The 11,430-nt window shown below is 38.9% G+C and overlaps 1 protein-coding gene and 2 non-coding genes across 19 annotated transcripts in view; 2 read left to right on the forward strand and 1 right to left on the reverse strand.

The window, feature by feature from the left end:
• Positions 1–6,036, forward strand: part of FRS2 (fibroblast growth factor receptor substrate 2) — a 109,406-nt gene extending 103,370 nt beyond the window's left edge. For all 17 annotated transcript variants that reach the window (NM_001042555.3, XM_017018718.2, NM_001278355.2 and 14 more), the window contains one exon: positions 248–6,036. In NM_001042555.3, the coding sequence (NP_001036020.1) occupies positions 248–1,198 (951 nt within the window). In that variant the 3' untranslated portion in view covers positions 1,199–6,036. The remainder of the gene's footprint in view (positions 1–247) is intronic.
• A 4,928-nt stretch (positions 6,037–10,964) lies between these two features.
• Positions 10,965–11,066, reverse strand: MIR3913-1 (microRNA 3913-1). Its single transcript, NR_037475.1, has one exon. It is a non-coding gene; the product is annotated as a microRNA 3913-1 (primary transcript).
• Positions 10,966–11,065, forward strand: MIR3913-2 (microRNA 3913-2). The gene has a single exon (NR_037476.1). It is a non-coding gene; the product is annotated as a microRNA 3913-2 (primary transcript).
• Positions 11,067–11,430: the final 364 nt, after the last annotated feature.

Genomic DNA, 11,430 nt, shown 5'->3' on the forward strand with positions numbered 1-11,430 from the left:
CAGCCTGCGTGTTATTTTGAAGTCGTTATTCTTTTATCAAATTAGGAAGACATTTCTACATTTCTCCTTCTCTTTCCACCTTTTTATTAATAAAAAAACAGGTGCAAAAGTTTTGAAGTAAGAGTACATTTGGAGAGAAAGTTAATACAGTTAACTGTTGTCAATAAAATTAACTGATGTGGTCAGGCTTTTTTTCAGTTTTGTTTTTTTAAGTAAGTTAACTAATTCACTTTCTGTTTTGTTTTAGGTACATACCTATGTCAACACTACAGGTGTGCAAGAAGAGCGGAAAAACCGCACAAGTGTGCATGTTCCATTGGAGGCGAGGGTTTCTAACGCTGAAAGCAGCACACCAAAAGAAGAACCAAGTAGTATTGAGGACAGGGATCCTCAGATTCTTCTTGAACCTGAAGGAGTCAAATTTGTTTTAGGGCCAACCCCTGTTCAAAAGCAGTTAATGGAAAAAGAGAAACTGGAGCAACTTGGAAGAGATCAAGTTAGTGGAAGTGGAGCAAATAACACAGAATGGGACACTGGCTATGACAGTGATGAACGAAGAGATGCACCCTCTGTTAACAAACTGGTGTATGAAAATATAAATGGGCTATCTATCCCTAGTGCCTCAGGGGTCAGGAGAGGTCGTCTGACATCCACCAGTACCTCAGATACCCAGAATATCAACAACTCAGCTCAGAGAAGAACTGCATTATTAAACTATGAAAATCTACCATCTTTGCCTCCTGTTTGGGAAGCCCGCAAGCTAAGTAGGGATGAAGATGACAATTTAGGACCAAAGACCCCATCTCTAAATGGCTACCATAATAATCTAGATCCAATGCATAACTATGTAAATACAGAGAATGTAACAGTGCCAGCAAGTGCTCACAAAATAGAATATTCAAGGCGTCGGGACTGTACACCAACAGTCTTTAACTTTGATATCAGACGCCCAAGTTTAGAACACAGGCAGCTTAATTACATACAGGTTGACTTGGAAGGTGGCAGTGACTCTGACAACCCTCAGACTCCAAAAACGCCTACAACTCCCCTTCCACAAACCCCTACCAGGCGCACAGAGCTGTATGCCGTGATAGACATCGAGAGAACTGCTGCTATGTCAAATTTGCAGAAAGCACTGCCACGAGATGATGGTACATCTAGGAAAACTAGACACAATAGTACTGATCTGCCCATGTGAGCCTGGAAAGCATTGTGTTGTTTGCACCTTTGTGAAGTTTTTAAAAATGAAGATGCAAGTGCTTCATTTTCATTTCTAAACACTAACTCCTTTTATAGACTGATAAAATTTTTTTCTGAATATTTCATGTGCATCTTTAACTAAAGGGAATTAATGTAGAGCAGGTACTCCTTAAAGAACACTAATTTCATTATATACTACTCGTTGTACAGCAGCATTCCCGTTTTCACAGTGCCTATTTAAAATGAGAGTTGAAGTAAATGACATGCTGGTTGATTTTTATCAATATTCTGGACTTAACGCATACCTTTCATGTCTAAGTCATGGTTGGCTTTTAAAACTTTTTATAAAGCCTCTTGACAATGTACATTGCTAACAGGTAACTATAGGCTTTGAAAGTAATGCTCGTAGATTCAGTGTTCACAGTATGTGGCCTCCAGCATGTAACATGAGGAATCCTTTATTTCATTAATTAATGGCTTTTTGACTTGAGCCAAAACATATGTAAAGGAAACAGAAGTACCGCACCTCCTCTTACACCAGTCAGCTCCTTTGCCTTCAGTGTTACTAGAAAGCGGCCTGTGTCCATGAGTGTGCTTTGCTGTTGGTGCACTGAAAGGCAGGAAGGAGACAAGATTTTCTATTTACTCATCTCATGATGTCATTTGAAGGGCATGTCCAGATATCTTAAAATTATAATAGGCTCAAGAATCAGTCTCAGGTCACTTTACCCAAAAACATTTGAAAATCTGAACCACAATCTCCTGAAAGTTTTTCTCCTATAGATTGTTGACAACACATTGTTTTCTGGAGGCATTTGTGCCATTAGGTTTCCATTTATCTTCAGTTTTTTTCTTTGGTGTTTGGGATGTCTTATTTTGTTGCCTTATGTCCTTTTCAATTTAAAATGTTTGAGTTTGTATATAGTTTTGAAATTGGATTATGTGTTCATTGTTGTTTAGTTTGCATTTTTGTCAAATTATGGTTTTGAAGGTTCATTTGGAACTTACTGTTAGTCTGTAACAGGGTTGCCCTTGTCCAGTATTTATTTATAAGCTGTTTACTTTTCAAGTTGATAAAAACATTCTCCAATTCTAAATTTGCTTGTGTCCATAGGTGATCTCTTTAGCAAACTGAGAAAAAAAGGAAGCTACTTTTAACATGCAAAGTTCCCTCAAGGTGTACCGTGTTGTCTCTGTGGGCACTCTTCCCCAGCACTTTAGCAGTAATTCCCCCAGCTACACGCTGCAGTTGTACTCTGCCCACTCTAGTGTTCCTCAGCTCTGCTGTCCTTTTACTTGTAGCTGGATCTTTGATTATCCTTCGATTTCCATGAAATATTAATATTGTTGCCAGCATAGCAGGTACAGTGGAAGTCTTGTAGCAGTGAGATTGTATCATAATTTAGGATTTAAAATGAATTAAAGTTTATATAAACTGAAGAGTCTCCATATGTCAAACTCTTGGAAAATCAAAGATGTTCCAATTTCCTAAACACTAGAGAATACGAGAGAAGGTAGAGTGGAAAAGGTTAGGTAACCTTGCAAAATATTTTACTATTTTCTCTAAATATGAGGAAGTTTGAGATTATGATCTGGATCTACCAGATATAACTAAGGTTAATTTAGCATGAAAAAGTTTTAGTCATATTGGCATCCAACCTATTCAGTAACCGAATCATAGGACAATGATGGATTAGGAGAACAATAGAGTGGGATCATTATAAAGAAAATAAATTATTAAAGGTGTCTTTATCGTTTTAGTGCCATTTTTAGTGTCTTTACTATAAATCAATATCAGTGTATTTTATCATTCTATGTGCATAGCAGAATTTTCTTTTCTCCCTTTTGTTCCCCTGTGAACTTGGTGCTTATTAAAGTGCTCACTGTTCTCTTAAAAGAGAGCAGTGGTATAGGTGTGCAGTTTCCATGATGCAGGTTCCATTTTTAATATATTGTTCCACTTATCCTTTCTTCTGAGTAAATTGCTAATTGTGCCAAATTTATGTAATAGTTTTTGTAATGTGGAATAAGAATTATGATGGAACCATTGCACATTTTTTTCTGAAACAGCCAGTCAAGGCAGAACATTAATCTCCAAATGCAAGGGCTGATCTATTTATTCATTTTGGAGGTTGGGTACTTTATTCTTTCTTTCCGTCATCCTTTTCATTGTTTCCCCCGGATTCTAATTAGTTTTTATTTTTTTTAGATAACTCCAATATAATCATTACAGTTTATGCTTTAAATACTATGTGCTTTAAAAAGGAAAATGGGACCAATTTGTCTGCTAAGAATTTGATTTTAGGTACTATAAGAGTATTAGGAAAATATATACAACTGGTGTTAATTTCTAGATATTTTCTAGAAATCACTTGTGTTCCTATTTAATAAAAGGTAATTTAGAATACTACTTGTCCTTTGCAGTAGTTTAGTAATGGGCATTAAGCTGTGTCCTCGAAGGATGTACCTATTACTAGGTGCATTTTAGAATGAAATATTGATATTTTATTAGCATATAATTGTGGCCATATATCTCAGATTTTCTGAGGCAGATCTAATTTTAGATAATTCTGTTGGTAGACCATGTGATCCTTCTTTTTGGTTTTGGAAATATAATCATTGTTAATGTTTTCCCTCCAAATAGAATACTGTTTTATCCATACAAATCATAACAGCATCTATCCCATGCTAGGGTTGGAAACTGATATTGGTATTACTTGTGTTTTTTCTTAGTGTGTTTTATTTCCCAGTTTCATCTTCTTCTAAAAATGAAAATATGGTGCCTTCCCTCCCTCCAGGAAGACTGGCAAATATTTCCTTTTATTTACTGCTGCTGTGGAGTGATGAGATATGCACTTTACTCTTTAAGATTCAGCAAAAAGCTTTTCACTTCTCAGTATATCCAGAATACATCATATCTGGGACTTAGGAAAATTTGCCAAGCAATCTTTGTTTTTATAGATACTAATGTTGACCCTCTCCAGCGTTCAATGTTATAAATAGAACAAGTCAAGCTAGTGTTTATCTCCTCCCCCTCCCCAAAACTGTGGCACAGCATATAAAAATGTACCTCAATAATGTTCTATTAAAAATGGGACAGGGGCCTTATGTTTTCATAATTTCCCAACAATGTGCCGCCATATTTTTGCCTCAAGGTAAAGGTTTTAACAGATGAAAAAGTACTTCCCAATTCCCCCGTGCTATTCCTAACCTATAATGCCCAAATGTTTTGTGCAATGTGTAGTGTGTGTGTATAAATACATATATTCTTGAAATAGACATACCATCAGAGACATCATTCACAAGTAACTGATGTATTGGCATCTCATTCATATTTCTGATGTGTGAGGTATATGGTACTAATTACCTTTTCCTTGATGTTTGCCAAATTTGAATAAAGGCATTGGTACGAAATTACAGAATGTAAAGAAAATGTTTTTGGCTTGAAAAATTAACATATTTTATGACGTACCACAGTATACTCTGCCCAAACCAGCACCCTATCTATCTTTCCTGTTCTTTACATCCCTGTTCCCCATCCCTACTTCCTCATTTTTGGTATAACACAGTTCTTTTGTAGCATCATTATAATTGCAGTTCTATGGCAATTGGACAGTTATAGCATGGAAACAGACTGGTATAAGTAGTACAGTAGTCACCAGTGTGCCACATTTGCATTAGTAATGCAAAATATACATTTTATAAAGGACAAACTTTGTGTTATGTTTTATTTTCATTACATTGTATAATATTGTAAGACTATTGTATGTCCTAATTTGCATTATAAATGTTTTTTTCCTACGTAAAGGCATAAATATAGCAACTTTGTATAAAGGTAGCTTATTAGATTTTTAATTTTTTCTTTTATAAAAAATTGTCCAACAGTGGGACTACCATTGCCAAATTGTATATGAAATATGAATTTTACCCCCATGGTTAATTTCTTTTATAAACATTCCATATTTCTCTAATAAAAAGACATAAGTGATACTGTACTATGCATACATTGTATCTTAATGCTGTTTCAGATCAGCATTTTAAATTTTGGTTTGCATTTTTAATATTGGCAAAACGTAACCACTGTTAATTAAAATAAAACCTTGTTGTATATGTAACAACATAATTTTCCCTCTATCCCTTCCCACCCTTTGTTCTCTATTTCTCCCTATCAGTGCCAACTTCATACATTTTGTAGCATGGCAATAAAATATAACTTTTACACTGAGGCCGAGTGTGGCTTTTTGGAGGAAGTGGGGATGGGACGATTGCCCTCTAGTTGTCCTTTGCATATGACTGTTTTTTGCCATATAAGCCATGTCATCAGGCATGAAAAGTTTTCTCATATATGATGTAAACTTGCTTTTAAGGACAAGTGTGAATGTGCTTTTTAAGCTTAATTTTTGTCATGACAACTAATTTTTTTTATCTTTGGAGAAGTCAGAGTTCTTTACAATCAAACGTTTATTAACTGGAGTACTTAGAATAAGCTAGTAATTGAATTTAGTTCAAGGGCTAAGCAACACATTTTTAAATCCTTATTTATTGTAGAGTATTAGTATACTGTCCTACAAATTATGTAAAATATGGTTTAATATTAGATGACTTTGGATTTTGCAATGCCTTACTGTTGTCATTCTAGCATAAATATCCATAATGAGGTACTCAAGTTGATACTGGAAGCTGAGCTGATCATACACTGACCTGAAGCATTCATGAAAAGCTGCTTTATTGAATAAAGTCTGATTGGAGTTCTTTTCATGCTCACTTTCCCCTTATTGCTGAAAGTAGATTGCAATAAAACCCCAATAAAACGTTTGGTCGGATATCTACTTAAAAGTTTTATTGTATTTATATTTCACATACTACTTGAAACTTTGTGACATTTTCTTTCCTAGTCTCATATCACTGCCTCCATTTTCAAAATGAAGATATCAAAATGAAATTGTAACTATATGACAGGCTTTCTCACAGTTTTAGCTGTGTGATCATTCCAAATAGTAGTTCTCAGCTCTGGGACTTCAAACCTGTTTTTAGCCACTGAGTGACATTGCAAAGCCTTAGTTGAGTACAGGTCAAGATGGAAATTATTTAAACAATGAAGGAGATGGACATGTCCACAAGTGATTGATGTAACTGGCATGATAAAGACACACACAAAGGAAGGGCATCCAACTCAGCCTAGGGGTGGAGGTTTTCAAGCAAAGCTTCTTAGAGGGGGTGATCCCTGAGGTGGTTTGTTGAAAGTCTTTGTAGCTTAGAGAGGATGTCTTAGGGAGAAGGGATAGCATGTGCAAAGGCACAGAGGTATAGAAAGATCATGACATTCAGTGGTTGCAAGAGGTTCCAAATGACTAAGCGCATGGAGAGCAAAGGCAGGGTTGGGGGATACAGAAGAAAGGAGAAATGAGAAACAGATCACAGAATCCTAAGGAGCTTTTGTTTAAATTAGGTGAGAGAACTTGAAGGATTTTAAACACCAGAAAAATAATAGTTTAGAAAGATTTCTCTGACAACATGGATACGTGAAGGGCGCAGTATTTTTTTTTTTTTTTTTTTTTTTTTTTTTGAGACGGAGTCTCTCCCTGTTGCCCAGGCTGGATGGAGTGCAGTGGCGCCATCTCGGCTCACTGCAAGCTCCCCCTCCCAGGTTCATGCCATTCTCCTGGCTCTGCCTCCCAAGTAGCTGGCCCTACGGTATTTTAATAAAGCAGGGAGACTGGTTGAGAGGCTTTTTCAGAAATGGAGCCAGATCTGATAAATCCGTATTCAAAGGCATTGTTAAAGGACTGTTTAGATTGTTTACTGCTGTGCAACAAACCACCCTAAAAGTTAGTGGCTTAAAGCAGCAATCATTTAATGTCTCAAGTTGCTATAGATCGAGATGGGCAGGGCACAGCAGAGATGGCTCATCTCACATGATGTCTGGAGGCCTGGCTTCCTCATATGCTTTGTGCCTATGCTAGTATGATTCAAGCAGCTGAGGGCTGGCTGGACCAGTTCCACTAGGTTATGTCTGGAACTTAAAGCTCTCAGCTGTGTTCCTTAGTTTTCTTCCATGAAGTCTTGGGTCTTTCTTCATGTGGTCTTCTTACATGGCAGCTTAGGGTTCCCAAGAGCACAAAAGTAGATGCTGCTAGGCTTTCTTGAGGCCTAAGCCCAGAACTGGCACAATGTCAATTCTGTTGTATTTTGTTGAATTACAGTGGCTCATATAAAAGCATGAACATCAAAAGTGTAGTTTATTCAGGGCCACCAATGTAATAGAGGGCCTAAAGGAGGAAGAATTAACACCTCTGATTGATAAGGGGAATGACAGAAATGGAGGGGTCAAGGATGACCCCCAGTTATCTGGTTTGGGTGACTGAGATGGTTGATGGTGTCAGTTCATTGAGATTTAAGATATATTTGGGGGCTGGGCATGGTGGCTCATGCCCGTAATCCCAGCACTTTGGGAGGCTGTGGAGGGTGGATCACTTCAGCCCAGAAGTTTGAGACCAGCCTGGGCAACATGGTGAAAACCTGTTTCTATGAAAAAATACAAAAATCAACTGGCGTGGTGGTGTGTGCTTGTAGTCCCAGCTACTCAAGAGACTGAGGCAGGAGGATAGATTAAGCCTGGGAGGTTGAGGCTGCAATGAACTGTGATCCTGCCACTGTGGTCCAGCCTGGGCAACATAATGAGACCCTGTTTTTTTTTTTTTTAAAGTGCTCCTCTAAGTGTGCTCCACAGACTGATTCCTGTGTACAAACTATCACGGTCTGCAACAGGAGAAATATCAAGTCTTCTAACCTTCTCCCTACTACCCAAACAGTAGGTGTCTGGGTGGACCCAACTTAATGTGACTGTGGACTCCTGGTCCTTTATTTGGTTTCCTTCCCCAGGTATTCTAACTGTTCCTGAGGAATGTTGACAAGTCCCATAACTCTGTTCTGGTGGTTGTTTGCCACTTCGCCAGTTATTTCACTCCAGTTAATGAATCTACCCTTGCTCCCAAATCACCTCTAGCCATCAAATAATGATATGCTACAGTGCTTTCCTACTTCCATAACATGCCAAGCATATCCAACCTCGGCTACTATATTTATAAAGCCTATTAGAAGACTTGGGATATAATGATAACAATAGCTAAGCTAAACAGGCACTGTTCTAAGCTATTTAATCTGTGATAATTATCTCCATTTTACACAAAGGGAAATTGAGGCACAGAGAGATTATATAACTGGAAGCTGACCAGTTAACAAAAAGCCAATTCACTGAAAGCCAAATTATACCAAGGGGAAGAGAGAGGAGGACACAGGGTCATAGAGAGGAGAGGGTCACAAAGACTTTGAGGGAGGAGGAAGGGTTAACTAAGAGAAGCCAAGACCAAGGGACTTGAGAGTAGAGGACAGAAGATGAGCCAGGAGAAAGTCACACAACGTGTTTAATCACAGAAACATGGATTCCCAAGGTCTCACTATCTCCATAGGCCCTGTAACCTATCTAATACAAATTACGATAAAATGTATAAATAGATGGGCACAGTGGCTTCTGCCTGTAATTCCAGCACTTTGGGAGGCCAAGGTGGGCAGATCGCATGAATTCAGGAGTTCAAGACCAGCCTGAGAAACATGGCAAAATCCCGTCTCCACCAAAAATACAAAAAATTAGCTGGTGTGGTGGCGCATGCCTGTATTTCCAGCTACTCGGGAGACAGGTCGGAGGATCGCTTGAAGTCAGGAGGCAGAGGTTGCAGTGAGTGGAGATCACACCACTGCACTCCTGCCTGGGTGACAGAGTAAGACCCTGTCTCAATTAAAAAATATATATATAGGTGTGGTGGCTCATGCCTGTAATCCCAGCACTTTGGGAGACTGAGGTGGGCAGATTGCTTGAGGTCAGAAGTTCGAGACCACCCTGGCCAACATGGTTAAACCCTGTCTCTACTAAAAATACAAAAATTAGCCAGCTGTGGTGGTGCATGCCTGTAGTCCCAGCTATTTGGGAGGCTGAGGCAGGAGAATTGCTTGAACCCGGGAGGCGGAGGTTGCAGTGAGTTGAGATCATACCACTGCACTCCAGCCCGAGCGACAGAGTGAAACTCTGTTTCAACAACAACAACAACAACAAAAAAGTATAAACAGCTAAAAGAGACAGTTTTTGGTAAACCAGCACATTGATCACGCTCTGAATGGCCTTCAATGAACTGATTTAAAGAGCCTGTGAAACCCACCCAAGACTACAAAGCTAGTACGTAAAATGGTTGAAATTCAAACTCATATAGTCTGGGTCTAGAAGCTGAGTGTTTAGCCTCTAGGTGTAGAGGTGTCATCAAAGGAGGGGGAAGTAGGAAAGAAGGAAGGGTCAAAAGATGCAATGGAGAAAGGACACATTTCCAAGGGTCCCATCATAGAGTCTCTTCCTGGCTGCCTCTAGCCTCAGTTCCACAAGGTGGCAGGGCCTGCCTCCTTCTCCCCATCCAAATGCCTCTGGCTACATTCAAAGCCCAGCAGGGAGCAGTCATTGGTTTCCCCATCACACACAGTCTCAGGCTTGCCTACCAGAGGACATAATAAATATCTCCAGGTATGTAATTTTGCCCACAATAAAAACAACCTTTTTCAATATTGTGCAGGCATCTTAGTTTTTTATTGTGAATCTTCTCATTCCAGAATGCGATTTGGGATCTGCCTAGGAAAGTACATTTCCTGAAAGAAGACCAAATTTTCCTACAAAGAAGAGAAAACTCTTGGGAGATTTAAAATAACAATTTGTCCAGCCTGAACTCCCCTTTTCATGTTGGACCTGAGGAATACTGTAAACCAGGGTCAGCAAACTTTTTCTGTAAAGAATTAGATAATACATGTTTTAGGTTTTGTGGGCCCATTCAACCTGTCATGACTACTCAACTCTGCCACATAACTCTGCTATCGTATTGTGACAGAGTAAATATGTATGGGTATGCCCATGGATTCCAATGAAGCTTTATGGACACTGAAATATTAATTTCACAGGATTTTCATGTGTCAGGAAATTTTTGATTTCTTTCAACCACTTAAAAATGTAAAAACTATTCTTAGCTCTCAGGCCATACAAAAAACAACTGGCAGGCTGGGTTTGACTCCTCACAGCTTGCCAACCCCTGGTGGAAATCAACCCACTTAGAGGAAATCTGAAGGGTAGAAACAACTAAAAAATTGAAAATTCCTGTTAATGTTAGCAATGTCAAAAATCCAGGAGACCCCAGCTACTCAGGAGACCAAGGCAGGAAGATTGCTTGAGCCCAGGAGTTCCAGGCCAGCCTGGGCAACATAGAAGACCCCATCTCTAAAAAAAACAAAACAGAAAAAGAAAAATCCAGGAGCTTGTTTTGTTTTGTTTTTGTTTTGAGACAGAGTCTCGCTCTGTTGCCCAGGCTGGAGTGCAGCGGCGTGATCTCGGCTCACTGAAACCTCTGCCTCCCGGGTTCAAGCAATTATCCTGCCTCAGCCTCCTGAGTAGCTGGGATTACGGGCATGCACACCACGCCCGGCTAATTTTTGTATTTTCAGTAGAGACAGGGTTTCACCATGTTGGCCAGGCTGGTCTCCAACTCCTGACCTCAGGTGATCCGCCCACCTCGGCCTCCCAAAGTGCTGGGATTACAGGGGTGAGCCACCGCGCCCTGCCGAGGAGCTTAAGCGATCAGTTAGTCAAAGGGAGAAAAGAGGGTATCAGTAGATGACAGAAAAATTTTTTAGAGAACAAATTTTTAGACATCCGTCAACTTAGAGAAAGTAGAAAACTGTCTATAATAAACTGAAATATTTGGGACTGATCTTGATGTCTGCCAAGGTTTTGGCAGACATCAAGATCAGTCCCAAATATTTCAGTTTATTATAAACAAAGACTAATAAGTCGTCTCTACTATTGGAGGAAAAAAAAAAAAAAGACCGAAATGCAAAAATTCCTGAAAATGAGTAAATAGGGCAAAGATAAAATACTATAAATGTCTCTCTCAGTTCACAAGACCTTATCCTGGGCAGTCAACGTCCAGTTAGAAATAACGTCTGAAAATTCAGTAAGAGAAAAGGAAGTCTTCTTCTGTAATACTCAGTAAATAATGTTTAAAATTAACATAGCAATAATATTATCTGGGAATATGATAGTAAATAGCCCCTCCAAAAAACTGAAAAAGTTGAAAGCAGTTTTCCTGGAGACAGGAAGTGGTGAGGCAGATAAATTATGTTTTTCCTTATTGGTATATAACA

The sequence above is a fragment of the Homo sapiens genome, chromosome 12 (genome assembly GCF_000001405.40).
Source record: "Homo sapiens chromosome 12, GRCh38.p14 Primary Assembly".
Classification (NCBI taxonomy): Eukaryota; Metazoa; Chordata; class Mammalia; order Primates; family Hominidae; genus Homo; species Homo sapiens.